Source organism: Homo sapiens, chromosome 11 (assembly GCF_000001405.40).
Source record: "Homo sapiens chromosome 11, GRCh38.p14 Primary Assembly".
Classification (NCBI taxonomy): Eukaryota; Metazoa; Chordata; class Mammalia; order Primates; family Hominidae; genus Homo; species Homo sapiens.
In genome coordinates this window covers 72,620,595-72,648,528 of record NC_000011.10, presented here as the reverse complement: position 1 = coordinate 72,648,528, position 27,934 = coordinate 72,620,595, and the positions used below count along the sequence as shown (strand labels likewise).

Below are 27,934 nucleotides of genomic sequence, written 5' to 3'. Positions count from 1 at the left end.
ACCCTACAGCCCCCATCCCCTGGGCCTGAGTTCACTCAGCCTGTACCCTTCCTGACCCAGAGCTGCTGCCAGGGCTCTGGGAACAGGCCTTGCCCACTAGGAGCTGAAATTCACATTGTCCCCAGCACCTGCCCGTGGCCACATCCTCTCTCTGTGAGGGCTACCCCCACATCTGGAGCCATAGCCAGCGGACACAGAGCTGGATCTGGACTGGTGGCCATGGGCAGCACCTCTGGCAGGTGCTGAGGTGGAGGAGGCAGTATCCAGGCAGGCATCCCTGGGCAGAAGGTACCTCTCCTGAGCAGACAGGCCTTCCCAGGCACCAGGCCCAAAGATAGGGGCAAGGGCTAGATCCTGGTATTGGAGGACCCTCAGGAGAGGCTGTGTGTGACTTGCTCTCTCTCTGACCTGGGCTAGAGCATAAACACGTGTCACATACTTGCACACACATTCACACGTGAAAGCACGCACATGCTATTCCTGGACACTTGTGTACACACACCACTGCACACATATACCTGCATGTGTGAATATACACTCACTTCTGCACACAGACACATGCCTATCTGCATAGACACACCCGTGCCAACCCCTATAGATACACAGACATATCTGTGTATACACATATAAGTTCAGCTATACCACTGCAGTATCACACACCCTCACAAGGATACAAACCTGTGCTCACACTCTCTTCCACCCTCACACACATCATGCTTACAAGCCTGTGTGCAGCCTTACACACATGCACACACATACAGAGCAGCCTAAGGGTGGCTCACCCCTGCCCAGGTGAACACCTGTGCCCACTCCAGGGCTGGAGTGTTGAGGAAAGGGTCTGGATGGAGGCAGAACCTGCAGAGATGTCAGTTTCTTCCAGGAAGCATCTTGGATTGTCCCTTCACAGAGCCCTTGGAAGTGGGGCCCTCTTTTAGTCCATGGGCTCTAGCCCAGGTCACAGAGAGAGCAAGTCACACACAGCCTCTCCTGAGGGTCCTCCAATACCAGGATCCAGCCCTTGTCCATATCTTTGGGCCTGGTGCCTGCGTAGGACCATCTGCTCAGGAGAGGTACCTTCTGCCCAGGGAGGCCTGCCTGGATACTGCCTCCTCCACCTCAGCTTCCTGAGCACTCAAAGAGAAGCAGGCCAAGCTTCACGGCTGCTGAGAAGTCTGAGACCAGGGAGGGCCAAAGCCTTGCCTGAGGTCACCCAGCATGTCAGGGAAGGGCTAGGGTTTGAACCTGGGCTTCCAGGTGGGGGTGTAACCATGGTCCATGGCAACAGGATAGATGCATGTCAGGCAGCAGACAGGCCCTTGGAAGCAAGACATGTGGTCATGGGGGATAGGAAAAGACTTACAGTCTATGGAGATCTGCCAGGACCAAGTGTGTGAGATGGAGAGATGGTGCTTCTTCACCAGAGCTCACTGGGCACCACAGGGCTCCCAGCTTGGCTGGACCATGGGGACTCAGGGAAGAATCAGACAGGCCCTGCTCTTGAGGGAGGGCTGGGGATAGGTGAAGAAGGAAGAGGGCATTATAGACTGGGGAGATGGTGGGGGCTACTTCTCGTTGGATGGCAGTTTTCTTCCTGCATCTTGAAAGATCTAACTTTCAAATTTCTTTACCCTCAAAACTCGGCATGGAGTACATTCTCAGTAAATATTTATGGCATGAATGAATTAATGAAAGTATGATATTGGCAGGCAGATATGCCTTTGGAAGGGTATTCAAAATGGGAGGGCAACAGGTTGGGCAAAGGCAAAGAGGTGGAAGAAAAGCCAGAGGTTCAGGGTACAGCTGAGTCAGGCATGGCTGGACGGGAAGTGGTAGGAGAAGCAGCAGGAAAAAGTCACGTGGGGATGAGCCTTGCATCTTATACTGAGTTTGGATGTTGCCTTGGAGGCCATGGGGAGCCCAGTGAAGATTATGAGCAGAGGGTGAACATGGTCAGAGTGAACCTGCCCTGGCTTTGGGGGGTCCTGGGCTACATAGTAGCTGCTTATCCTTGGTGCAAAGAGCACTGGGTTTGGAGTCTATAGGCCAGGGTTCACATTCCTATAGTAACCAGCTGTGCCATCTCAGGTAAGCATCTACATTTCTCTGAGCCTCACTTTCCTTATTTGTAAAATGGGGCTAATGCCGTGCCTCCTGAGGCTGTTGGATCTGGCCTGGGTGAGGAAATGCTTTGCCAGCACAAGGCCCTACCAATGAGAGGTGTCATTTTTATTAGGAACAAGGCAGGGCTGGTTCCTAGACAGGGCCTGAGGTTGAGTGGGCCCAGGACCCAGGCTGACAGCTGAGTCACCTTTTCCAGGCCAAGTGGCCTCTAAGGTGGGAAGACAAAAAGAGTTGGCTAGAGGGGCTGGGCTATGCATTCCTAAGCTGGAGCTGGGAGGAAAGCTGGGGCTGGGACTGGGCTTCCTGGTGTCCGAGATGGGCAGAGGGTGCAGACACCGGGATAGTAGGACCCTCAGCCACTGCATTCTTGGGGACAAAAGAGGAGCTGGGAAATCTGATTTCCTTACCTGGCTTTGCTCAAGAAGCAAGGAATGTATTTAAGGCACAGACTGGAGTGAGATGGCCTGGGTTTGAATTTTGACTACTTACAAGCTATGTGACTGTGGGCAGTTTACTTTGTGCCTGAGTTTTCCTTATCTGTGAAGTGTGACTAATAATAGATCCCACCCTATAACATTGTTGAGAAGATGAAATGTGAGGCACACAGTATGTGCTCAATAAATGCGAAAGCCTCCCAGCCCCAGATGTATACACTCGGCCAGTAGGGGCCAGCCCTGGCCCTCACCTCCATGGGACAGAGGTCAGCCAGGGAGGAGATGCATCTACTCCAGGGTTCTCTGACCTGGCAGCAAATTAGAATCACCGGGGGACATTCACAAACATCTGGGATGGGGGTTCCAGATATCAGTATTTAAAATGCTCCCAGGCAATTCTAACATGAGTCAGGGTGAGAACCCAGAACAGGATCACAGATTGTGCAGTTGGAGTGAGGTAGGGATCTGCGTGTGAGTGGAGGAGTCCTTGGAGTGGGGTCACTCCTAGCTATAAGAGCTCGGCAAGGCCTTTAAATGTGCCAACTCAAGGAGCCTTGGTTGCCCCCTCAGGAAGGGTGCTGGTTGGGGAATTTCAAGGATTGTGTGAGAGGGTTTTTCTGAAAGGGCTCTGCACTCTACCAAGCACTGGAAGAAAGCAGTGCACTTGTTTATTGAGTCTAGTGTAATAACATTTCACAGATGGGGAAATAGAGGCCTAGAGAGGTGCTGTGGCCTGCTCAGAATCCCACAGCAAGTCTATGGCACAGTTAGGACTCAAACCCTCTGAGGAATGCTTGGATCTGAAAGGTTGACACAGAAAGACTCTTTGAGCTGAGGGACACATAGAGCACACACCAGGGACCCCAGTCATTGAGCTGTAGTTTGAGAGATTCAAGTAAGACTGAAGAAATAACTTCTTGGCTGGGTGCAGTGGCTCACACCTGTAATCCCAACACTTTGGGAGGCTGAGGTGGGTGGATCATGAGGTCAAGAGATCGAGACCATCCTGGCCAACATGGCGAAATCCCATCTGTACTAAAAATATAAAAATTAGCTGGGCATGGTGGTGCATGCCTGTAGTCCCATCTACTCGGGAGGCTGAGGCAGGAGAATTGCTTGAACCCGGGAGGCGGAGGTTGCAGTGAGCTGAGATCGCGCCACTGCGCTCCAGCCTGGTGACAGAGCGAGACTCCGTCTCAAAAAAATAAAATAAAATAAAATAAAATAAAATAAAATAAAATAAAATAAATAAAATAACTTCTCAAGAGGTGAGTGCCATGGAGGTGGTGCCTGGAGTTGGGAGCCCAAGAGATGGTGGCGGTGCCAGGCCAGGGTCGGCTGTTGACCATGGTCTGAGGTGGCCTCCCCTGAAGAACAAGTAACTCTGGCCAGTGGCTGTAACAGATACCTCCCGGGCACCTGTATCTCACCCAGCCTTGTCCAGAGCCCAGGACTGAGCCAGTGACACATGCTCAGAATTTACCAAGAGACTTGTGCACTGAGCTCAGACTCAGACCTAGTCCTTCCAACAGCCCTTACATGGGTCATCCCCTTTTACGGAAGAGAAAACTGAGGCCAAAAATAGGAAGGGAGGCCCTGTGGGGGCCAGAACCTTTACACATCTTAGCCCAGGTAATTTTTTCTACAGTGTTAATAAGTAGGATGAATTGCCCCTGTTTGGAAGATTCAGTAAAATACATTGACTTGGCCCAGATCACTTACTCTACACCTCTCCTAAGTCCCCAGATGTGACTCCCAGGAAAGACACAAAAAAGGGCTACCCAGAGGGATAAGGTAGTAACCAGGGAAGCCCTCCCAGAGGAGGTGGGCCTTCAAATGGCCCCTAAATGACAGGCAGGAGGGAAGGATCTGGGAGGGTATTGGGGGTGGGGTGGCATGGGCAAAGGCCTGGAGGTGAGAGTCAGTCAGTCATTGATGTGAGAAGAGCAAGAAGTAGAAATGTAAGGAATGGTGGGGAGGGGAGTCAGAGCTGGATGACCAAGCAAGGGTTCAGCTGTAGAGGGTCTGGCCCGCCAGGCTCAGGGCTCGGGCTTTATTGTGCTGGTGGTAGGGAGCCACTGAGGGTGAGTGGGGGAGAGCATGCCAGAGCATGCCTCAGAAAGAAAGGTGGGAGAAACGCTGGCATGGAGGGCTGCCCCCTGAGTTGGTGGGGTGGCCGGGCTCTGCCAAGGCTATGTGCCAGCTGCCTGGACTGTGTCCAGGAATGGGCACAATGACTCAACATTGAGAAAATCACTCCCCAGGGAGAAAGGGCCCTGATGAATCACCCAGCTGAGGTGGGGAGGCTGGGAGGCTGGGAGGCTGGGAGGCTGGGAGCTCACTGAGTCACCGTCCAAGAGTTGGTGAGGAGGGGAGCTGCAGAGAGAGGGGCCGGCAGTGCAGTTGACGGGGGGATTCAGGTCAGACCACATTGAGGGCTGTCGGGGGACTCTACCTTCCCGCCATTCCCGGGTTTGGTCCTCCTGGCCGTCCTGTGAGGGAGATGAGAAAACTGAGGCCCAGGAAGTGGGGGGAGGGGATCCGAGCAAGGTCATGCGGCAAGTCGCTGGCAAAGGCCTAGCGAGACCCAAGCGCACCCTCCAGTCCAGACACGTCCTGCCGCCCCAACCGCTTTCATGCCAAGCAGAGGCCTAAGAACCGGGTCGGTCCGGGCAGGGAGCTGACCCCGGTGACCCGCTGAATCCCCGGACGCGGCCCCTCCGGGCAGCCGGCAACTGAGGCCGGATTGCGCCGCCGCGATGGGACGGCAGGGGGCGCAGGAGCGTCGCGGCTGCCGCAGGCTCCTGAACCCAGAAGCCGCTCTGCGGAGAAACGCGCTCCCGGAGCGCGGGTCCCACCGCGGAACTGCGGACCGTGTGGCCCTGGGGCCTGCACCCTCTCCGGCTCCGGGGACGGCGACAGAGACCTGCCCACCCAGGCCTGGGGGCCCCAGTCAGTGGCGGCCGCCGTGTGTGCGCTCGGTGTCTGTGCGCACGTGTCTCCCTCGCAGATGGGCGACTGCTCCAGGGCCTGTCCGTCTCACAGCGACCTCCAACATTCTCCCGACTTCCCCCTGCCTCCTAGGCTGAGGGAGAGGAGCAAGCCCGAGGCTCCTGCGGTGTCCGCGGCCCCTGCCCCCCTTCCCCTTCCCTCCCCACCCCACCCCACTGCGCCGGTCTCTGCCTGGGGCTCTGGCCGGGCCCCGGACCCCAGAGTGGTGGCGGGGAAACAGGGTGCGATCAGACAGGGTGGAGGCTCTGAGAGCGGCCCCTGCGAGATGCGAGAGAAGTGGCGACGGGGCGAGGGGCAGCGAGCGCAGGCTGACAGCAGGCCAGCTGGAAGGGCCGAGGGAACCCAGGGCGAGACAGAAGCGGGGTGACAGCGGCCGGGTGTCCGGTGGGGTCGGAGGATCCGACGGGCCGAGAGGTGCGGTCCGCGGTGGCGGGGACATAGGCGGGGCCGGGGCGGGCCGGGGGCGGGCGGGGGGCGGGCCGGGGCGGGGCCGGGGCGGACACTCGGGCGGACCAGGCGAAGCTGTCGCGGACGCGCTGACCGAGCGCAGCGGCCGGGCCGGCGGGCGGGCGGGCGGCTGCGAGCATGGTCCTGGTGCTGCACCACATCCTCATCGCTGTTGTCCAATTCCTCAGGCGGGGCCAGCAGGTCTTCCTCAAGCCGGACGAGCCGCCGCCGCCGCCGCAGCCATGCGCCGACAGCCTGCAGGTAGGGGGGCCCCCGCGCTGGGCACCAGGAGAACGGGGTGTCCGGCGAGCGCCGGGCCGGGTCTGCCCGCCCCCGAACCCTTCTCAGGGAGGAGACCCCTCCTCTAGTTCTGAATTCTACTCCTGTGCTGGGACGGCAGCGCAGACCAAGAGCCCTTGAAGCCCCAGCTCTCAGTCCACACGTCACCCCAGACTCTGAACTCCTTTCGGATCCGGGGCTCCACCCCAAGCACTGAGCTTCCAGTCCACGGTGGGACCGCAGTGCACACTGAGAGCTGTGCCCAAGCCTCGAATTCCCTTTCCTTAGATTAGTGGGGACCCTGCCCACGCCTCGGAACCTTCACCATATATGTGGGGCTCCCGGCACACCTGGAGCACCTGAACCCCCAGCTGTCATCCAGGACTCCACCTCAGAGCCGGCCTCACCCAAAGCCCCAAACCTCCATTCCAAGCCTCAACTGGACACCCGCTCAGATTCCCACCCAAACATCTGGACTTCAGTCCTCAGCCTGGAACCTACCCCAGAGTCCAAATCTCTCCTTCCATCAGGGCTTCACTGGCTTTCTCTGTGGGACCCACTCCCCGATCCCTTCCCTCCCTCCTGTGTTGGAGATCTCCGAGTCTTTCCTCGTGGGGGGCCCCTCCTCTTGTTCCTCTCCAGGTACAGTGGTCCCACTTTATTCTCTGGGCTTCTCCTCTGGTTTCTCTTCAAGTATTTCTGGGCTCTCTAATTTGGTCTGTTGCCCCATGTGCCCACCTCTCTTGGTCTATCTTGGTCTCTCTCCTGTTTCTCTAGGTCTCCATCTTCGTTTTGGGGTCTCTTTCTGCAGCCACCCCTTCCTCTTGTATCTACCTCTGCTTTGTGGTGAGGAGGGGGCAGGCTCAGAGAGCAGGGCTAGTGTCCCTGGGACACCCCCGCCCCCCATGTTCTCAGGCATGGCATGGTGTGGGCTCAGGTGGAAGGGCCTAAATGTGGAGTGTGCTGCCCTCAGGCGATGCCCAGGGATCTGAGGTGGTGGGGGGATGATGTGGTGGGCACTGGCTTTTGTAACTTATAAAGCCCCTCATCCCAGCTGCCCTGGTCTTGACGGGGGCGGCTAGGGCTTGAGATAGGGAAGAGTAAACTGCAATCTGGTGTCAACCTGCGGTGGGATGTGTCCAGGCTGGGTGGGTCTATAGTGTATGTGTTTGTGTGAGTGTTCCTGTCTGTGTGTAGCACGGGCTGGGTTGCATGTGTTGGGTGTGTCTTGTGTGTAATCATGTGTGTTGTGCCGTGTATGAATGTGTCATCGAGAGTGGGATTATTTGTGGGGAGATTATGGGAATTATGGGTCTATGGCATTGTGTGCTATGTGTGGCTGGGGAGGCAGTGTTGTGGCTGTGGAGTGGTAGCTGGGTGTGTGGCTGTTGTGTGTGTAGAGAACTTGTGTGTATGTGGCTGTATGTCTGTTATTGTACAGTGGAGTTGTTGTAGGGACAGCTTGCATACAGGATTCTATATGTAGTTGTGTGTGTTACTGGCTGTTGTGTGTGGCCAGGAAGGGCCACTGCAGGGGCCTGATGGTTTCCACTGGGTGTCTTGTCAGAGAGGAGTTGGGGCAGGGGGTGCCGTGTGTGCCAATGTGTTTGCAGCCTAGGTGGCTGGCTTAGAGTCACTATGGCACATCCTGGGATTGCTTGGGTAATATATCTATTAGGACCTGAGTGCTGGTGTTTGAATGTCATGTGTCTGTGTGGTGGCTGCTCCCGCGATTCTGGACAGGAAAGGGTTGCAGCCAGGGCTGAGGGGTCTGAGGTGAGGAGCCAGTTGACAAGTGTGTGAGTGTGTGAGTGTGTGTGTGTGCGTGCATGTACACGTGCATATGGGAATGGGGTGGGGTGGGAGGAGGCAGTGGGCCAGCAGCGCTGTCTATGCTGAGGGGCTGTGTGTGCCCACAAACGTGTGACATTAGGTGTGCACATTATCTATGCAGGTTGTGTCTGCATGTGTCTCTGTGTCTAGGTGGCGTGCGTATTGAATTTAATTGGATGCATACACCTGTGGCTGGGGAGGTGAGAGGTGTGTGAGGTGCGTGGTGGGAGACGGTGTGAGTGTGGTGTGAAGTGAGGGTGTGTGAGCTGGGTGACTTTTTGGTGTGACGTGTGAATTATGTGATCTTTTCTCCCCATGAGCTGTGTGTGCCTGTGGTGAGGAGTGAGTGGAGGATGGCCAGTGAGCTGGCGGTGTGTGTGTTGGGGGTGTTGAGGACTGTAGAATGTGCTGCGGTGGCAGTGTGTGCATGAGGTGTGTGTGAGGAATGAGGTCTGTAACATTTGGGGCGTGTGGAATATAGTGGGTGTCCCCATAAATGTCTGTGGAGTGACGCATGTGTGCAAAAGGGCTTGGCTGCCATCCTGTTCTTGCTCCCCTCCTGATCAGGTCCCTAGAGATGCCCTGGAATGTTCTCCATGCCCCCCCAACCCCAGCTGCCCCTACCCTTTGCCCTTCATCCTCCTTGCCTTGACCAAGCCCTTTGTTTTGGGTTTCCGGCGGAGCAGGCGCTGGACAGGCGGGCGGCAGGCAATGTCGTGGTCTGAGAACCTTTGTTCTCTTAGTTTGACTGGTGTTTGGGGCCTTGGTTTGGAGGAGGGTGTGGAGAGGATGCACGTGGCAGCAAGGTCACTGTGTTTACTACACCACTTCGTGCTCCGCAGAGGGGAGGCATACGGCGCAGGCAGTGAGGCCTGGGTGGTGTCTTTGGTGGCGCCTGTTGGTGTAAGAACAGCTTAGGCTGGGCTTGGAGTTTGCCAGCCATGCAGTCTTAGTCCATAGTGGCCCAGCGCCCTTCCTGGCTCATGTCAGCGGGGCTGAGCAGCCGAGCAGCCAAGCACTCACTTCTCCAAGTTCACCTGCCCTCGCCCCTTCTCTGTGTGGCTGCAGCCCCTGGAGACAACCAGGAAGACCTCGATTTAGTTCTATTTGTGTTCACTCCAGGTCAGATGGAGGAGAAAGAGTCCCCATCCTCACAGAGACACTTATCTGAAAGGAGAGAGCTGGTCACACCTTTGGGGACCCTCTAGACTGACGCAGTCTGTAGGGGGATCGAGGTCATACCTTCCAGAGAGAGCTGTGGGAAAACCCTACTGGGCTGCCTCCCAGCAGGTGCTTGAGAGAAGAAACATCCAAGGTTCCTTGAGATTGGAAGGCTTAGAGAAGTCTGAGTCAGTCAGGGAAGGGGCTGGGGTCGATGCCGCAGTGTCACATACCAGAAGGTTCTCTGAAATGAATAGGCTTGAACTGGACCTTGAAGGGGGTGTTGGGGTGGGCAGAGAAATGCAGCCTGGGGCTGAGGAAGGTTCTGGCCTGACTGGCAAAAGGGATCTTGCTGGCCATTCCCCAGGCAACACTGTCTGGCTTTGGGTAGCCATCCCTGGGCCTCCAGCCTTCTCAAGCTTTCACGGTACCTTTTTTATCCCATTGTCTCTGGCTGGAATTATCTTCATTGTCGTTGACATTGTCATCTTCATCATCTTTTAGGCAGTTATTTCCAAATTCCAGGGTCCTTTCACAAATGTCTCATTTAGCAGGTTAACTCATGCAATTGTCCAAAAGTCTTTATGGAACACTGCTGTGTACCAGGCAGGCACAGTTTTAAGTGCCGGGGTCATGGTGGTGGCCAAACTGGCCTCATGGAGCTCCTACCTTCTGTGTCCAGCCATGCTGTCAGTTGCCCACCCTTCTGTGTTTCCCCCAGTCTGGGGCGCCTGGTTCTGTGGGGCTCCGCATGTGCACCCTCTGGTGCTGGGGTCTGGCTCCTACCAGAATGTGAGCTCTGCAGAGGCTGGGCCCGGGTCTCTCCTCTACCCACCGTGTGTGTCCTGAGCTGGGTCTGGCAGAGTCCAGATGCTCACACCTATCATCAAGTGACTGGAACTGCCATGTAGGGTTGGCAGTCCAGCTCTGTCTAGGGAAACTGGGGTCCATCGGATGAGGGGACTCTCATCTCATCAGGCAGCATCTCATCAGGCCCTTCTTTTACCAGTAGCTCCAGAGACCAAGAAGGGTCAGGTGACTGGTGCAGGTCTCACAGCAGGGTGGCGCGGCTGGTGTCAGAAGACAGCACTTCTTGCTGCCAGGTTGGGCTCTGGTCCTAGCACCATGCTGCTCTCTGGCTGGCCTCTGTGCTGCCTGCGGCGGGTAAACGATTATTAATGACCCCCCTGGCAAGGAGACAGGAAATGTTTCCCAGCCACAGCTGGGGACCTGCTCCCTGCCAGCCCCAGCTATCCATACCCGTCCTGACCATGGCATCGGTGCTGATGTTATCTTCATTCTGCCTCAGTCTTCTTTACTCCTTCTGCCCATCCCCCGACCTCCCTGATCTTGACATCCTAAGGGTAAATGACGAGAAGCTACAGAGCTTTCTTTTCCATATCCCTGTCCCTCACCACTTTCTCCAACCTGACTCATCTCTACCTTCTTCCTTGTCCCATGCCAGCCAGAAGTAGCTCTTCCTCCAAGAAGGCTTCTCTGAATGCACAGCCAGCTCCTCCAGTGTCCACTACCCTGAGCCCGAGGCACTGAGTCCCCCTCATTGCAGACTCTAGTCCTCCACTGATGGTTTGCTCTGACAGCCCTAGGGCTGGCCTGGGCACTTCCCGCAGACTGTCCCTAATTGCTGCCTTAGGACTGACATATGAAGGGTCCTCCCAGATGCTACCTCCAGGAAGTCTCCAGTTCCACTCAGCCCAGGGATTCTTACCTCCTTTGAGCACAGTGCCCTTCCTGTCTGAGTCACACATGTGTACTTCCAGGACTTCCTAGGTGGACATTAGTGAACACCTGCTATGTGCCCAGCACAGAGGGTGGGAAGAGATGAGCAGGATGCAGGCCTTAAAATCCCCACACCTTCCTCCAAGCCTGAGCAATGTTGCATCAGCCCCTTGGCAGGTGGCACAGACCTAGGTACTAGGGCTGGGGGAGGGGAGGCGGAGAAACAGGGAGTGATGTTGGTAGAGTGTGTGGGGAGGGCAACGAGGGAGATAAACTCAGGGGCCATGGTGATATAAAGCAGGGACCCCTATTTCAGCCCAGAGTGGGAGGGAGGGGCATGTTGGGGAGCTTCCAGGAGGAAACAAATCTGAACTGAGAGCTAAGGTCAAGCCAGGAGAAAGTTCTGGACAGAGGGGAGAGAATGGTTACTGTGAAGGTTCGCTGGTGGCAGACAGAGGGAGGAGAGCCTGTGGCAGCACCACTCCATGGAGCAGGCCCCTGGGTGCCAGCCGGCTGGGTCCGGGGGGATGGGGACTGGTAAAGCTGGCCCAGCCAGATGGTGCAGGACTTGTAAGCCATGTTAAGGACTGCGGACTTATTCTGGAGGGAAATTGACCCTGGGGAAGAGTTGAGAGAACGGATATGACAGATCAGATCTGCATGTTCAATAGCTCCCTGGACCATGGTGTGGAGACTGAAGGGGAGGCTGGTGTGGTCCAGGTAAGCGGGGGTGATGAGGCCTGGACAGGGAAATGGCTGAAGAATGGAGGGGAGGGGACGGAGTGGCCAGGGCTGGTGGAGGGAGCTGGACAGCTGTAGACGTGAAGGGCAAGGGAGGAGAATGCTGCCCCACCCAGGTGTCTGGATGGGTTTTGTGCAGTCTCTGAGATGTATAGGAGGGAAGACAGGGGTTAGTGGCAGATGCCTGGGCCTGTGTCAGGGCCCTTTAAGGACCAAAAGGTCTTGGAAAAGCCTCAGAGGAGATCATGAGCTTTGAGATTAAAGGGAGACCTGAAGCCGGCCCAGGGCTGCTACAGCCTCACCTGTAACATGGGAACTTGAGATCTGCCCTGGGCAAAGGGTGTTCAGAATTCAATAATCAAAACAATCTGTGAAATGTAATACTTAATAAAATTCAAATCCAAAAATGTCTGAGTACATTCCAAAATGAGTAAAAATGTAAATTTATGAAAATGCTAAACATGCGTGATTGTTCTAATGTAAATTGTAAGCCTCAGCTGCTTCCCAGAACTTTGGATCTGGCTCCCTTGAAGCTGCTGCCTCTGATGTGGCTGCCCCCTGCAGCTCCAGGACCTTCCTGTTCAGCTCCCTTGAGAGTAGCCGGCAGGGCCCCTCCTCTGCAGAGCCTGTACTCTGGCTGGTGGCTTCAGGGGGCAGGCATTCTGCCTTTCCTGTCTCCCACCCTAAGGGAGTTGGCCTTGCATGCCTCCCATCCACGGTTGCCTCTACTGGGGGCTGCCACTGGGAGACAGGAAGGGCATGGGAGTTTCGGGAGCTCAGGGTAAGAGGGGCTGAGATCTCGTGGTGTGGAGGGGGAGCGGGAAGGTCGGGTGGCCGAAAGAATGGAGAGGGCCGGGAGTGAGAGCAAAGGGAGACAGGCAGAGCTGAAGAGCAGTATCGCCCCAACATCAATACTGGTATTTCAGAATGGGAAAGCTGTTCCATTTCCCGAATTATCAGAATGCTGAGGTCCGATCTTGCAGTCTCTGAGCTGGGCATTCCTTGGCCCCCACTCTCGGGTATTCTTGCACAAGACCATTTTTCTGGGCTGCATTTTCTCACTTGTAAAAGGAGGAAGTTGGGGGTCAATATCTCCAAGCGATATATGAGCTCTAGCTCTAGGAGTATAGGATTTTGAGAATCTGGAATTGTTAGTCTGTGGGGTTCTAACTGGGACAATTCTAGCATTCCTTGACTCTCAGCTCCCAGCCAGGGCTGTGTGGATGCGTGGTTGTGTGATTCCGACATTCTGAGACTTTAAGATGCTGAGGCTCTAGGAGCTAGAGATACGGACATTCTGTGAATCTAGGATTCTAGGATTTGATGGTTTGATGATTCAATGATTCTAAATGGGGCTGCTGGGAAGAGCTGCAACCACCTGCCTTGTTAATGTCAATGTTCAGTTATTAAAAACATAACAAGAAGCAATGGAGACAGATAGCTCAGAATGGTGGGCGCTCCCTCCACTCCCAGTGAGGGAGGACAGAAGAGGCTGGGCTGGCCTTAGAGAATAGAGACCTTTTCAACCTGGGTCACACAGGTTGTTTCTCCTGTCACAACAGAACTGGTGTGTGTACATTCGAGAGAGCTTCCACTCCCAAAGCTTGCAGGGTAAGGGGCTCATTTCCTTCAGCACTGGCCTCTATTCCTTAACCATTTCAGACTGGGCAGAGAGAGGGGTAACTACCCTTTCCTCCCAGCCCTCGAAGTCTCTGGGCAGAAATGGCAGCAGTGGAGGAAGGAGAGGTCTGCTCACCCCCGCCCCTTCCCTGACAGCCTGAGGGGGAAAACAGGACATGAATACTTCCTGGACACAGACATGGAAATGCATGAACCCCTGCCTTCGAGGGCCCCGCGTCCAAAGGCTCAGACAAGGGCAGAGGCCAGGACAGCCAGTGGGGTCCCATCAGCACCCTCTCAGTATAGGCTGAGGAGGGAAGACCCTGTTCTTGCCCCAAGGGTGACAGTGAGAAGGGGTCAAGGAAAGGAGTCCCAGGTCAGGGACTGGAAGTGCTGACAGGTCCTCCCCTGTGTGCAAGGCCACAGTCCAGCCTGGCAGAAGGCCAGCCCAATTGTCCAGTGTTTCACTGCCTCCTGAGTCCTTCTTATGCCTTGGCACCCAGGCCAGAGTTGGGGAGGGGTCCAGGCTGCAGGGGAGGGTTTCCTTCCAGAGTGCCCATCCCTGATGGATCCTTAGAAGCCCAGTACAGCTGCACAGTTCCAAGGGCTTCCGCTGCCTGGTAGGTTCACAGACCAAAGCTGGCCCTGGTCACACAGCACAACGGGGCCTGAAATCAGGCTTCCTGATTCCCAGTCCTGGGTGTTCCTTTTTGCCCACAGCCTCCCCCACTTCCCCTGGGACACCTGAGGGGCAGGAGTGGAGGTGGGGCTCAGGTTAGGGAGCAGAGCCTCTGTCCATCATCCCTCCGTCTTCCTCTTCCCACAGGCCAGAAGCAGGTGTGGTGGTGACAGCTGCCCCCAGTCCTCCACAAGGCTCCATTGTCCCCGGCAGGGAGCCCCTCCCCAGCTGCAGGCCAGAAGTGTGCCTCCCCGGGCCCTCCTGTCGTGACTCTGCCACCCGCTTCCTCCTGCTGCCCCTTCCCTCTTCTCATCTCCGCTTGCCCTCAGGCCCTCCCCATCCCCGTGAGGTCTCGTCTCTGGCGCTCTCTGGGTTTAAGCCTCTCTCCAGTGAAAGTTAGATTTGGAAGGGCCCTGGGAGATCACCAAGTCCAACCCTTTTATTCTTCGGATAAGGAGGCCAGGTCAGAGAGGGGAAGGTCCTGTCCAAAGCTGCACAGTAGGCTGAGGCAGAGCCCAGTGCTGTGCTCCCTTCAGCGCTGGGTCATGGGTGCACACTGCCCTTGGCATCAGGCGTCCAGGGTTTGAGAACTGACTGTGATGATCAGCGCTAAGCACACAGGCACCTACAGAAATGCGGTAGGGGGCTTCTCTCCTCAGCCCTTCTTCACAGCCCTGAGCTGCCCTCCCTTCCTCTTCTTTGCCCAGCTCCTCTCTCCTTCACTATCCCTGCTGTCTGCTGACTCCTGCCTCTGGCAGACACTGTCCTTGGGACACAGACTAGAGCTCAGGCCTCCAGGACTGGGATGCACACCCATGCACCCAGACACAGACACATAAACATGTGCAAGCGTGTCACGGGGTCCATAAATCCCAGCTGAAAACTGGTCAGACCATCAGGAGGCCACCCTGGAACCCAGTGTCCTCCTCTTCCTGTCAGGCCTCACACACCTCCTCCAGGAAGCCCCTTAGGACCCCTGAAGACCATCTTCATCCAACTAGCCCCTTTGTGACAACTGAACTCTGTGAGCCTAGGTTCCTCCTGTGACTCGAAGGGCAAGGCTGAGTCCCCCCTTCAGTCCTGGGGCCACTCCTTCAGTGTCTTCAGGAGGGGCTCAGCTTCCTGTTGCTGGGTGGGGAGAGCCCTGAGGTCCCCACAGGACGTGGGACAATGGGGAGGCGGTGACAGATGAGAGGCTGAGTCTTCCCTAAAGCAGACTCCACCCTCCCCTGACCTCCCTGGCTGGTGGCTTGGACACAGCCCTGGCCTGGACTAGGGTCCTGGTCTGACCCCACAATGCAGAGGTCTGGGAATCAGAAGCCCTGGTTCTCCAGCAGCAGTTCTCTAACTGGCGGCTATGGAGTCCAGGCCTCCAGGGCACTGGTAGGTTATTGGCGGGTTGGTGCAGATTCCAGTGTCCAGGAGGGGTGAGCTGGCCTGGGGGGCCTATGTACAGGAGATAGGAGGGTGATAAACACAGGCTAGGTGGGATTACAGGGAGCTGGGAATACCTAGCTAAGAATCCCCTCATCCTAGGCACTTTCCCCACACTTGAAATTGGCTGGAGGGGGAACCAGAAGTTAGGTGGGGTTGGGGAGGGACAGGAGCCAGCACCCTGCCTCCACCTCCGGGCAGTGCCTCTGCTGGGGGGAGGGAACCTGTCCTGGGGGTGGTGGGAGGTGTGAGGGGGGAGCTGGATTCTCCAGTGAAACTGGCCCTCCCTCCTCTCAGGGGAGGGGAGGGGGCTGTCCCTGGCTGCTCAGCAGGTAGCCCATCTGGCTGTGGGTGGAAAAGAAGACTCAGGCTTTGTGGATAAAAGGGACAGCCCTGGGTCAGGCACTTATCTCAACCCTCGTCATTTCCTCTGCCGGACATGACTGGGTGAGTGGGGTCATTGCACAGAGGGAAGGAACAGGCCAGGGCCAGTGCATACCAGGCCCTACAGGAGAGTCAGGCACATGGGTGACCCTGCCACACCCTGGGCTGCAGTCAGCCCCTCATAGAGGCCCAGACACACACCACAGTCACTGCCGGAGATGGCCACACCTAGACCATCACACCACACACAGACCCAGTCTCTCCAGGTGACACTCAGGCCCAGCTGCAGGCGCAGCTAAGAGGGAAGACCCTGCAGGGCACAGGGACACGTGGGACAACCAGACGCCCTGCTTCGGCCACACCACAAGCCTCCACACACCAGGTGCAGCTCCTGTCACCCCTACGGTCAACCCAAGGAGAGCCAGAGATTCCAGTAGTCGTGGGCAGGTATCCAGTGCCCAGGCGAGAAGAGGGGGACACCAGCAGGGAACCCAGAACCTCCTCCATGCCAGACTGTGCCCTCCCCCCAGCTCACAGAAGGAGTGCCTCAGGCTGTTTATTTCCTAGCAGGGACTAGCAGGGATGGGTGTCTCATCCCCCTCCCCCTCCCAGTCCCCACCACACGATTCTGAAGCTGCCAAATCAAATCAGCCCCTGCACCCGCGCCAGGCTGGCATGGCGGCCAGCAGCTGACGGGAACGAAGCCAGGCTCAGAATATCCCACCGCCTGTCCGATGCCTGAGTAGGCTTGTTGGGTGGGGGTGGGGAGGGGCAGGAGCCTGGCAGCCAGGCCCTGGGCAGTGCCCCTCAGAGAGGCTGGGGGTTTGGAATGCTGCAGGGTGGTGGGCTTCTGGAGAATGAGTGAGCAGGTCTCTGTTGTGTCTCCAGGCTGCTGTGGCAGTGTCTCCACCGCTAGCATTCCGGGAACTGTGGAAGTGGTGCTGGTAGGATACAGGTCGGGGGTCTGATCCCAGTCCAGATGACTGGGCGCCAGGCTGGGGTAGGGGGGCTCCCACATGGTCTCACATTCATTTGAGACTCACAGCACCCAGGTTGGAAGCCCCTTGGTTGTCTGTCAGTAAAGGCCCAACTCACTGTGGAGGCCCAGTGACTGTGTGAGGTGGACATTACGGATCCCATTTTACAGACAGAGAAACTGAGGCTTAGAGAGGGCTAGTAGAGCTCCCTGGAGAGAAGCAGAAGTGGAGGAGGCCTCAGAAAGAGTAAAGAGGTGGTCATTTCCACTCCTTAGGAGCCCTAGGTGGAAAGAAGGAATATGGCTCTGTTCTCAGAGTCAAGGAACAGAGAATATGGCAGAGCCAGAGGTGCCCATGGGAAGCAGAGAACAAGGAGGGAGTCTTGGGAGAGAGCAGGGTGCAAGCAGGCAAGGCTCCCTGGAGGAGGGGGCCATCCGTGGGCTTGCTGGGGGCTAATGGGAGGACAGTCTGGGGAGAAGGGGAGAAGGCCTGGCCGGCCTCAGCCCCTGACCTTCTTGTCTCTGCAGCCAGCCTGGACCCCCTTGCAAAGGAGCCAGGACCCCCAGGGAGTAGAGACGACCGACTGGAGGTGAGAGCTCAGTGGAGGGAGAAGTGGGTGGGCTTGAGGGGGTGGGGCGCAGACTGAAGATCAGTCTGAGTGGTGCCCTCCCCCTTGGGAGGACGGGGAGGCTGGAGTCACATCCCAGCCCCAGCCCTCCAGACTAGGACCACCCCTATATCAAGACCATCTCCCCTCACCCTATATATCCCCAGCCTGGAAGTCCTCCCATGAGGATTCCTCCTCCCAACTCACCTGGGGAGTCACTACAGACTCCTCCCTTGTCCTCCCCACCCTCACCCAACAATTCCCGTTGATTCTCTGCCCTGAGTATTTCCCGAGTTCCTCTCCTCTCCATTCTGCCGCCTGCTTGGGTCCAGGCTCCCTCAACTCTCCCCTGGGCCACTCACTGGCTGCTTGCTTTCAGTTTCCCCCATCATCCACGTGGCCACCAGGAGGATCTTTCTAATGCACAGACCTGAACTTGTCACTCTCTTGCCCCAGAATCCTCCATGCTCCCCACCCCCATGCCCCCTCCACAACCCCAGCCTGGCAATCGTTCCCCTTCATCCATTCCTGCCTCCCCCAAACTGCTCCTGCTGGCCTCTTCCCCACTCAGCTTCCTAAATCCTTCGGGGATCAGCTCTAGCCTCCTTTCCTCTGGGAAGTCCTCTCTACCCCTTGACCATGGGACCAAGCTCACTCCTGCTCCCTCCTCTGAGCTCTCCTGCCCTGGCAGTCAGATGCCAGGGCGCTCTGCTGTCTGTCGCCCACCGTGCTGTGCCACGAGCACCCTGTTTTCTCCATCACGTGACTCTGTATGTGTGTCTGCCTTGTCTTCTCTGCACTGTGAGCTCTTTGAGCCTCGGGACTGTGCTTTCTTCATTCCTGAACCTTCTACCACCCTTGGATGGGTACCGGTGCAGGGCTCAGCCAGCGCATTTCCTGCCCTGCGAGGGGTGCCATCCCCACCCCCCGACCATGCCTTCCTTCCCTGTGAGGGGTGCCTCATAGGACTCTTCAGTGCTCAAAGGGGCCTTGACGAGCAAACAAGGTGGGCTGCTGATGTTGAAGATCGGCACAGAGGAGGGTGTGTGTGTGTGTGAGAGAGAGAGAGAGAACTGGACCCACAGCCAGAACAGAGTCTGCCCAGGCCTGGCTGAGAGGGAGAGGAAGATGATGCTTGTATCAGCCCTCCTGTGTGCCAGGAGCCTTTGACACCCACCTTGTTTAATTATTACAGCACCCCCATGAGGTAGGGGCTGCTATTATTCCTATTTCACATTTGGGGAAGCTGAGGCCCAGAGGGATCATTCAGCAAGTGAGTTGGGACAGAGCTAAGATTGGAGCCTAGATGTGTCTCAGGCTCGAGGCTCACTCTTTCCCGGCCCCTGAGTAAGATGGGAAAGAAGGTGCCCACACAGGGCCTGGTGCACAGGAGGGGCTCAGCACAGGTTCCCTGCTGGGACACAGGGCCAAGACCTGAGAATGTGCCTCCAAGTGGGGCTGGGCCCTGCTGCTGGGAGCTGGCAAAGGGAGCTGGGAGGGGAGGGCCTGGAAAGCCACATTATTAATTTATTTACTGCCATGGCATTCCCCATGGGGCGGGGCTCCCCCCAGAGCTGGGACAGATGGTGTTCCTGGGAGCCTGCAGTGTCTCAGCAGCCTCGGCCACCCGCCAGGAAAGACTGGATTTGTCATCCACCCAGGGAGCCACAAGAAGAGGGGGCTTTGGCAAAGCTGAGACCCTCCTGGGCAACGGGGACTGTGCCCTGAGGGAAGGAGTATGGCTCCAGGCACCCTGCTATGCCTCTGGGGCAGCCCCCGCTGCCTAGGCCATCTGCCTGCCCTCTGCAGGTTCAAGTTCTGCTCTTTGTCCAGCTCCACCGGCCTCGTCCTTCCCATGAGGCTTCCCTGGGTCGGCCCCACCTGCTCCTATCCCTGTATTTTCTCTGCCTTTCCTTGAGCTGGGTCCTGCTGCCTCTTCCCTCTGACCGAGGATCTGGAGCCATGAGCTCCTCAGCCCTCAGCTCTGTCCTGACCCCATCCCCACACTCATCCCCAAAACAGTTAGTGTCTGCCTGGACTCTTGGCAGGGCCTGCTGGATTTCTGGGTCCTGCCAGCACCCCACCCGAGTGCCCAGGCCTATACTCAGCACTGCTGGGAAGAGATGGGCTGCCTGAGGGGACGCTGCCAACATGGAGAGGGCAAGACTGGAGAGAGTGGGGACCCGAGGGCATTGCTCAGACCACAGGGGCAGCTGGAGGGAAAAGGGACTGGGAGCCTGAGGGGCCCTCCTGTCAGGGTGGATCTGGGAAGCCAAGATGGCCTCATATAGTGGACAAGCCACAGGGTCAGATGAGCACGGGTTCAAGTCCCAACTCCCTTGCTTCCTAGGTGTGTGGCCTTGTGCCTGTCACTTAACCAGCCTGAGCATCAGTCTCCTCACCTGCCAGGCGGGATAAGAACGTCTATCACTGCCGGGAGCGGTGGCTCACGCTTGTAATCTCAGCACTTTGGGAGGCCAAGGCAGGTGGATCACAAGGTCAGGAGATCGAGACCATTCTGGTTAACAGGGTGAAACCTGTCTCTACTAAAAATACAAAAAATTAGCCGGTTGTGGTGGTGGGCGCCTGTAGTCCCAGCTACTTGGGAGGCTGAGGCAGGAGAATGGTGTGAACCCGGGAGGCAGAGCTTGCAGTGAGCCGAGATCGCGCCACTGCACTTCAGCCTGGGTGACAGAGTGAGACTCCATCTCAAAAAAAAAAAAAAAGAACCTCTATCATTCTTGGATGTAATCACTGTTATTCAACATTACCACAATAGAGCTGTTGGGAGAAGTTACAAAGACTGTATGTGTGGGGTGCCCGGCGCAGGCCTGGCACATGGCAGATCCTTGGGGAGAGTTAGCCTCCTCTCTGTTTCCCTCAAGGATGACATCCTTAGAGCCAGGACTAGGCTGTACCCCTGTGAGACAGGATGCTCTGCAGAGCTGGGCTGAGGCTTATGGAAGTTCTATGGGCATGGCACACTCTCCTGGCACTGGCTGGGCAGCAGCCAAGAAAGCAGAGCTGCCAGCACCCATCCCCACCCAGCAGGCGTGTGTTCAGCACACCCTCCTGGGATGGTTACCTAGCCCCTGTGCCAGCAGCTGACTTGGAGGAGGGGCTCTTCCAGCTCAGCCTGGCATCCTCCTTCAGGGCCAGGCCTCTGCATCATTACTGTCTCTCTGAAAGTCAGGTCTGGGGCAGTTCAAGTTGGTGAATTGAGCATGCTGAGTCAATGCCCTCTTTGTGATGGCTCTCAGGGCCCAGATGGCGGCTTGGGAGCCTTAGCTGGGATGGGGGCATGGGGAGAGGCGGACGTGGATGAGGGCACTGACATCCACAATAAGTACTGAAATGCACTGCCCAACACCGGCTCCTCTATTGCTGCCCTTGGGACAAAGACCACACCCCTTGGCAGGGCATTGCTGGCCTTGCCTGCTGGGTCCCCTCATGTCCCCTTGTGTCCCCTTATGCCCTGAGACAGCCAGCGCTACAGCCACATTGTTGTGTTCACTCCCAGCACACAGCAGCTCCCCCTGCCTCCCTGCCTTTGCTCACACTGACCACCTGTCTGGAATACCTTTCCTTTCTTTCTCCACCTACTCTCTTTTCAAGGCCCAGATGAAATGTCACCTCCTTTGTGACGTTCCTCAGACTGGTCCCTCTACCTCAGGCCGAGCCAGTCTCCTCCCTTCCCTGGGCACTCACAGTCCCCATTTCCCTGAGCCCACAGTTGGGAAACCTGTTACCCCACGGGGTGCTGTGGGTAGTGTATCCTTCCCCATGGGGTTGTAAACACCCAGGAGGCAGAGGCTGAGACTGAGTCTCCTTTGTCTCTCTTGGGCCCATGTGGTGCTTGGTATAGGCCTGGTATATGGTAGGTGCTCAATAAATACTTCTTGAATGAACAAGAGTGGCTGTGAGTAGGGCTGGAGTAGTTCCAAGAAGGGGCACAGTTGGGTTGGGCGGTCTTGGAGACTTGGAGGAGGCAACCTTAGAACTTTGAAGGATGGAGAGGGTCAAGGGCACCAACCGAAGAAGCCAGGGACCAGCTAGGCAGTCAGAGAGGTCCATGAGGTCAGCTTCTGACAGCAGCAGCTAAGGACAACCAGGACCAGAACAGGACTGGGAAAAAGCAGATAGAGGAGGCTGGAGCAAGGACTCAGCCCCAGAGGAGGCTGCAGGAGGTTGGCTCATGCTCAGAACCCGGCTCCAAAACACTCTGCCCATGAGTGCTGGGCTGAGGAAGGCTTGGTGCCAGAGTCAGGGTGAGGCTGAGGCCACCAGTGAATATGTGGGCCCAGCTGCGGGGGTAGCACTAGGCAGGGGCGGGAGCCAGGTTGGAGGGGGTATTGCCATTGCCGCTGCAGGTGGAGTAGGGCTTCGCTGGGGAAGGAGCAGCTTGTGCGAGAGTGTGGGCAGGAGTGGGAGGGGAGAAGGCTCCGAGTATACGAGCATAGCTTACCAGCAAGTCCTGGGGTGAGGCTGGAGGGGCCGCGCTGTAGGCAGCACTTTTCGGGCCCTTATCTAACATTCTCAAGTGAGTGCTCCTAGCTGCCAGATGTGCTACTTCCTCCTGGATTCTGCACATCAGGAGCCAGTGGCCTCTACAATGCCCCATGGCCCCAAGGGAGTGGCTGCCAACAAGTTGGCCTTAGCATCTGGCATCCATGGGGGTCCTGAGGCCCTGCCATCTGTCTGTGCCCCTGTTGGGCTGCACAGGCCCGGGGCGTGCAGGGACCTGGGACCAGGGAGGCGGTCTCAGCTGCCACTCTAGCCTGTCTCTCTGCCTGCCCATCCACTGTCCACACCCCTGGCTGACTGAGTAAAGAGAGAGATGGGCATCGCAGGTCCTGCCATCAAAGAAGCCTAGTCTAAAGGAGGAGGCATAAAGCACCGGGGACTTATACCCAGAGAAGACACATGCTGAGACCACGCCAGGCTCGCGGGCAAGGCCTAGGCCCAGGGAGGGCCAGCCTCGTCAAGGGCCTGGAGTTGAGACTCAGGGAAAGGCAGGAGCTGGCATAGAGGCGCAGGCAGGTCCAAGGCAGTGCCCAGGCCAGATGCTGCGGCCCCGGGCTGAGGTTGCTCCAGCCGGCCCCACCCCCCACCGTCCTGCCTGGCCTTTGGCTGTAAACACTGAGAGAACAAGTTCCGTTTCCCGGGAAATATTTATCTCAGGCTGTGTGAAGAGCGTGTGCACTGGCCTCCGTGTGTCCTTCCTGCAGACCGGCTGGGGCAGGAGGAGAGGGAGCTTGGCAGCGCCCTTGCTGGGGGGAGTCTGTGGGGCTAGGAGGGAAGGGTGTGCCAGAGGCCCCTGCCTAGAGCCTGAATTTGAGTGCTGGCTGAGGGAGAGGTGGGAGCAGATGGGAGAGAAGCCTGTTTTCTCCAAACCCCACAAATGCCCTCCACCTCTCTCATGTTCCTTTCTTCTTCCTGGTCCATCCTGTCTCCTCCAGGTTCCGGCCTCCAGCCTGGTGTCCCCTCCTCAGGCTGCCTTTTCCTCCTCCTCCTCCCTGTTTCCTGGCTCTTAGCCGCTCCATCTGGGAAGTCTTCCTCAACTTTAAACCCTCGAACCCTTGTCCTCTGCCCTCCATCTCCCACTCCTCAGGCTTTCAGCAGCTTCACGTGGAGCATTGGGCTGGTCCTGTCCACAGTTGTTCAGTTGCTGTAACAGCTTGTGCAGGCTGCCCTGGAGCCCTGTTCTGGGAAGCACAGGTCTGGGCACCCTGGGGCTGGGGCGAGGCCCGGAGCTGATCTCCTCTGTCCATCCCAGTAGAGCCAGCACCAGTGCAGACACATGGGGGATCCAGGTTGGTGGACCAGGGGAGGATGGAAAGTCCCATGGATCCAGCCGGAATGTTGGAGTGGGGAGGCAGAGGGCCCAGGGTTCCTGCTGGCCAGCCTCTGGGCTTAGGGGTGTGTATCCCAGACAGGCCAGGCCTGCCAGGGGCCCTGACAACAGGAAATCCTTGAAGGAACAAGCAGAGGCTGAGGACTCTGAGCACAACAACAGGAAACAGCCGTGACATGGGGCAACAGCCCTGGCGACTGTGCCCAGTTGGGGTGGGGACGAGGGGCCAAGCTTGTGGGACCCAGGGTGATGCCAAGAGGGACACTGAGACACTGTGGGACAGGGGGCGTTCTGCACATGTGACACGGAGCTTATGACGTGTAATATCAAGTACGTGACCATGATCATAGGGTACTGTGTGGAGTGTGGGTGAGTCACTGAGTATGTGACACTGGCTGTGAGGCACTCCATGATAGCAGATGTGTACAGTGGCTGTGCCACCAAGTGTGTAACACTGTGTGATATTGATTGTGTGATGCTGACACCGAGTGTGTGACATTGCACATTGCATGCTACCACGTGTGTGACACTGAAAGTGACAGTGAGCACATGGAGGGTGTGTCTCCATGAGAATCAAATACAGAAACGTGAGCAAATGACGCTGCAGTAGCAGGTATGGTCCTGAGTCTGTGGCTCGAGTGTCTGACACTGAATTGTGACATTGAGTGTGTCCCAAGCATATGATCTAGTGAGGCTGAGTGTGTAAACAAAGGCATGACATGGAGTGATAGCAAGTGTGTGGAAGTGGGCGTGTGATGCTGTGTGATCTTGGGCCTGACATTACATGTGTGATGCTCTGTAATGGTTGTAACAGTATGCAATGTGCACATACAGTGCTGTGTAGGACACTGTCATGGGAAGGCACCGATGGGTTCAGGCGGGAAAGTAACACCGTCCAAAGGATGGTTTTAAAAGATTGCTCTGGCCAGATGCAGTGGCTCACACCTATAATCCCAGCACTTTGGGAGGCTGAGCTGGGTGGATCACCTGAGGTCAGGAGTTCAAGACCAGTCTGGTGAAACCCCATCTCTACTAAAAATACAAAAATTAGCCAGGCATGGTGACAGGCGCCTGTAATCTCAGCTGCTCGGGAGGTTGAGACAGGAGAATCACTTGAACCCAGGGGGCAGAGGTTGCAGTGAGCCAAGATTGAGCCATTGCACTCCAGCCTGGGTGACGAGTGAAATACCATCTCAAAAAAAAAAAAAGAAAAAGATTGCTCAGGTTGCAGAATATGTATGTGTGCGAGTGTGCATGGTGCGTGGCAGGGGAGGGGAGATAAGTTAGGGGGAGGCAGAGAGAAGGTGGGTAGAGCAACTGGAGGCTCCTGCAGCTGCCCAGGCAGGAGATGGTGGTGCCTGTGTTAATGGAATGGCAGAAGAGTTAGAGATATGGAGCAACTTTGGAGATATTTGAAAACAGAAATGACAGAACTTGCTGATAAATGAGAAGATGAGCAAGAGGGAAAACCAGAGAACAATTTCCAGGGTTCTGGCTTGAAGAACCAAGCGATGGATGGTGAAGATGTTTCTGAGATGGGCAAAGGCAAGGGGGAGGGTCAGCACTAGTGGGGTGGGAGGACAAGGAGGCAGAAACCGAGTGAGCTGTTTTGGATGTGTTAAGGGAAGCATCCAGGTGAAGGTGTGCAGTGGGCAGCGGGGCCAGGCTAGGGATACATCTGGGAGTCGACAGGCATGGGGGGTTTGTTAAGGTCGTGGACCTGGCTGGGATAATGGAGAGAGGGAGCTTGGCAACAGAAGAGGTGGGGACTGAGGACCGAGCCTTAAACTCTGAATATTCCATTGTCTAGAGGCCGGGGAGGTGAGAAGGAGCAGCAACGAGACAGAGGAGGAGGGCCAGGGAGGCAGAGGAGACCAGGAGTGTGAAGCCAGAAGCCAAGGGAGGAAAGAGGCTCAAGTGGGAGGGAGGGTCGGTGTGTGGATGGTGCTGGCCCACAGGTAAGATGGGAACCGGAAGATTGTGCTGTGCTGGGCACTGTGGGTGAGTCAGGCTAATGGGAGCCATTTCAGTGATGGGCTGGAGCCAGAAGTCAGACTGGCCTGTGTAGGATGGTGAGGGAGGTGAAGACGTTAGCCTGGAGAGCCCTTTGGAGACGTTGGGCTGTGAGGGCTGCAGAGAAGGACATGATCGCTGGAAAGGGAGATTACATTTTTTTATTATGGGTGATTCTAAGCAGACACAATACCAGAGAGAAGCATATAAGAAACTGCCATATACTCATCACCCCAGTTCAACAGTTGCTGGGATTTGGCCTCATTTCTTCCTCTCTTGCCCCCTATCTGTTCTTTCATTTTCCTTTGCTTAAGCTTAAAATTTTTTAAATTGTGGTAAAATATACATAACTTAAACTTTACCATCATAACCATTTCTAAGTGTACAGTTCAGTTGTGGTAGGTACATTCACACTGTTTTGCAACCAATCTCTGGAACTCTTTCATCTTCTCAAACTGAAACTCTGCACCTATTAAACGACAGCCCCCATCCTCCTCTGTCTCCAGCTCCTGGCACCCACCATTCTACTTTCTGTCTCTATGACTTGGACTACTCTAGATACCTCAAGTAATTGGAATAATGTAGTATCTGTCTTTTTGTGACTGGTTTTTAAGTTTACTTAGCATAACGTCTTCAAGTTTTACCCATGTTGTAGCATGTGACAGGATTTCCTTCCTTTTTATGGCCACATAATATTCCAGTGTATGGACAGACCACATCCATCCAACACCAGACACTTGGGTTGCTTTCACATTTTAGCTATTGTGAGTAATGCTGCTATGAACATAAGTGTACAAATATCTCTTCAAGATCCTGCTTCCAATTCTTTCAGATGTATACCTAGAAGTACGCTTGCTGGATCACACAGTCATTCTATTTTTTGGTTTTTGAGGAACTGCCATACTGTTTTCTGTATCTTTTTACATTCCCACGGACAGTGTACAGGGGTTTCAGTTTCTCCACATCCTTGCCAACATGTGTTATTTTCTGTTCTTTTTTTTCTTTTATTTTTTAATGGTAGCCATCCTAATGGGTGTGGGGTGACATTTCATTGTGGTTTTGATTTGCATTTCCCTAATGATTAGTGAAGTTGAGCATCTTTTCATGTGCTGGTTGGCCACTTGTATATCTTCTTTGGGAAAATGTTGATTCAAGTCCTTTGCCCATTTAAAACATTGGGTTGTTTGCTTTTTTGTTGTTATTGAATTGCAGGGGTTCTTTATATATTCCAGATATTACCTCTTTATCAGATAAAAGCTTTGCAAATATTTTTCTCCCATTTCATAGGTTGCTTCGCTGAAATATGTTAAAGCAAATCCCAGACATGATGTCATTTCACCAAAGGTAGACTTTTTTTTTGGTGGGGGGAGCTTTCCGGTGAAGACTGAAAAACCTGCTAGACAAATTCTAAAATAGATGTGACTTTGGATTTTTGTTTTTTAAGGCTAGGAGGTCCTGGATGATGCTGAAATGTAACAGTGACACAGAGCCAGTGTGGAACTGTGTCTGATGCTGTGTGAGGGTGACATGGTGGCTTTGGGAACATGGGTGCAACACTGAAGATATGGGAGACTCCAAGTGAGGGTGACAGTGAGAGATCACTGTGTGTGTGGCCCTGTGACACCCAGTGACATGGGACAGTGGGACGCTGTGGACCCTGAAATGACTGTGTGTCACCGAGCAGGTGGGACCTGCTGTGTGAAGGCCACAGGTGTCATGTCTTCTTGTGTCATCCTGGTTGATGAGTGTGACACAGTGCAGGACTCTGCATGGGAGTAAGAGGGACTGAAGCTGTGCTATAGGTGACCGGGCTGCATGTGATTCAAGTGGGCTCAGCCCCAGCTTCAGCTGCTGAGTATGGGAGGGAGCATGGACATTGTAGGGTAGATGAGGAGAAACACTGAATGGGAACAGAAATGGTGTCTGTGCCCAGATGCGAGCTCCTCCCTTCTCTGAATACCCAGGAAGGCTTCCTGGAGGCAGGATGTGGGCACTTCAGCAGGATGTTGTAGGTGCTGATTAAGAGCAGGGCCTGTGGTGTCAGACAGCCCTGTCTAGGCTCTGACATTCAGCAGGTCATTTTATCTCTTGAGCCTCAATTTCCTCAAGTATAAAATGGGAGCTCTTAGGAGGATTGCATGAAGCAGTGCTCCAATGCATGCAGTCTCTGGCACTTGGTAAATACTCTATGGTCTCTTGGGGAGCAGCAACCTCAACACCTGCACCCCAGGTCCCCAAATAACAGGAGCACCAGTAGGAGCACAGTGAAGGTGCGCTGAGTGAGGTGTCCTCTTACACCCACAGCCCTCCTCTCTCCCTCTCCCCCAACTTCTGTCCCCTGCTTGGTGTTGTCAGCGATACCCCCTCCTGCCCACTCACTCCTGCCCCCTCCTCTCCCCTGCCGTCCTTACCACTGTCAGCCTCCAGCCCAGGCTCCTGCAGCCTCATCCAATTAGGCCAATGCAATTTGCTCAAGAAAAAGCCCCATAATTTGGTTAATCACACCAGTAGGGGATCTGGTCCCGGTCGGGAGGGTGGGGGTGGATAGGAGTCCATACCCGCAGCTGAGGCACAGGTGTCAAAGTGCCTGTCTTTTGG

General features: G+C 55.8%; 1 protein-coding gene and 1 pseudogene across 5 annotated transcripts in view, besides 11 other annotated features; one reads left to right on the top strand and one right to left on the bottom strand.

Moving 5' to 3' along the window:
- The window catches only part of PDE2A (phosphodiesterase 2A), a 98,282-nt gene that overhangs the window by 25,894 nt on the left and 44,454 nt on the right, over positions 1 to 27,934 (top strand). For 2 of the 5 annotated variants that reach the window (NM_002599.5, NM_001146209.3), the window contains one exon: positions 6,203 to 6,275. In NM_002599.5, coding sequence (NP_002590.1) covers positions 6,203 to 6,275 — 73 coding nt within the window. Of the gene's footprint in view, positions 1 to 6,085; positions 6,276 to 12,397; positions 12,550 to 17,389; positions 17,452 to 27,934 lie in introns of those variants that run through there. The other 3 variants (NM_001243784.2, XM_005274040.4, NM_001143839.4) reach the window with 3 other exon arrangements.
- Positions 4,926 to 5,515: an enhancer, noted in NCBI's record as "H3K4me1 hESC enhancer chr11:72354058-72354647 (GRCh37/hg19 assembly coordinates)". NCBI's record gives its function as "activates a minimal SCP1, AML or CMV promoter by ChIP-STARR-seq in naive and primed H9 embryonic stem cells {active_cell/tissue: H9 hESC(naive and primed)}" and the evidence as "EXISTENCE:reporter gene assay evidence [ECO:0000049][PMID:30033119]".
- Positions 4,926 to 5,631: a biological region, named in NCBI's record as "H3K4me1 hESC enhancer GRCh37_chr11:72354058-72354647".
- Positions 5,292 to 5,631: a silencer, noted in NCBI's record as "silent region_3722". NCBI's record gives its function as "represses an Ori minimal core promoter by ATAC-STARR-seq in GM12878 lymphoblastoid cells {active_cell/tissue: GM12878}" and the evidence as "EXISTENCE:reporter gene assay evidence [ECO:0000049][PMID:35858748]".
- Positions 5,950 to 6,450: an enhancer, noted in NCBI's record as "H3K4me1 hESC enhancer chr11:72353123-72353623 (GRCh37/hg19 assembly coordinates)". NCBI's record gives its function as "activates a minimal SCP1, AML or CMV promoter by ChIP-STARR-seq in naive H9 embryonic stem cells {active_cell/tissue: H9 hESC(naive)}" and the evidence as "EXISTENCE:reporter gene assay evidence [ECO:0000049][PMID:30033119]".
- Positions 13,561 to 14,156: an enhancer, noted in NCBI's record as "H3K4me1 hESC enhancer chr11:72345417-72346012 (GRCh37/hg19 assembly coordinates)". NCBI's record gives its function as "activates a minimal SCP1, AML or CMV promoter by ChIP-STARR-seq in naive H9 embryonic stem cells {active_cell/tissue: H9 hESC(naive)}" and the evidence as "EXISTENCE:reporter gene assay evidence [ECO:0000049][PMID:30033119]".
- Positions 14,157 to 14,753: an enhancer, noted in NCBI's record as "H3K4me1 hESC enhancer chr11:72344820-72345416 (GRCh37/hg19 assembly coordinates)". NCBI's record gives its function as "activates a minimal SCP1, AML or CMV promoter by ChIP-STARR-seq in naive H9 embryonic stem cells {active_cell/tissue: H9 hESC(naive)}" and the evidence as "EXISTENCE:reporter gene assay evidence [ECO:0000049][PMID:30033119]".
- Positions 17,800 to 18,324: an enhancer, noted in NCBI's record as "H3K4me1 hESC enhancer chr11:72341249-72341773 (GRCh37/hg19 assembly coordinates)". NCBI's record gives its function as "activates a minimal SCP1, AML or CMV promoter by ChIP-STARR-seq in naive H9 embryonic stem cells {active_cell/tissue: H9 hESC(naive)}" and the evidence as "EXISTENCE:reporter gene assay evidence [ECO:0000049][PMID:30033119]".
- Positions 18,325 to 18,850: an enhancer, noted in NCBI's record as "H3K4me1 hESC enhancer chr11:72340723-72341248 (GRCh37/hg19 assembly coordinates)". NCBI's record gives its function as "activates a minimal SCP1, AML or CMV promoter by ChIP-STARR-seq in primed H9 embryonic stem cells {active_cell/tissue: H9 hESC(primed)}" and the evidence as "EXISTENCE:reporter gene assay evidence [ECO:0000049][PMID:30033119]".
- Positions 19,377 to 19,902: an enhancer, noted in NCBI's record as "H3K27ac-H3K4me1 hESC enhancer chr11:72339671-72340196 (GRCh37/hg19 assembly coordinates)". NCBI's record gives its function as "activates a minimal SCP1, AML or CMV promoter by ChIP-STARR-seq in naive H9 embryonic stem cells {active_cell/tissue: H9 hESC(naive)}" and the evidence as "EXISTENCE:reporter gene assay evidence [ECO:0000049][PMID:30033119]".
- Positions 21,602 to 22,145: an enhancer, noted in NCBI's record as "H3K4me1 hESC enhancer chr11:72337428-72337971 (GRCh37/hg19 assembly coordinates)". NCBI's record gives its function as "activates a minimal SCP1, AML or CMV promoter by ChIP-STARR-seq in naive H9 embryonic stem cells {active_cell/tissue: H9 hESC(naive)}" and the evidence as "EXISTENCE:reporter gene assay evidence [ECO:0000049][PMID:30033119]".
- Positions 22,146 to 22,690: an enhancer, noted in NCBI's record as "H3K4me1 hESC enhancer chr11:72336883-72337427 (GRCh37/hg19 assembly coordinates)". NCBI's record gives its function as "activates a minimal SCP1, AML or CMV promoter by ChIP-STARR-seq in primed H9 embryonic stem cells {active_cell/tissue: H9 hESC(primed)}" and the evidence as "EXISTENCE:reporter gene assay evidence [ECO:0000049][PMID:30033119]".
- RNU7-105P (RNA, U7 small nuclear 105 pseudogene) lies at positions 26,702 to 26,763 on the bottom strand (annotated as a pseudogene).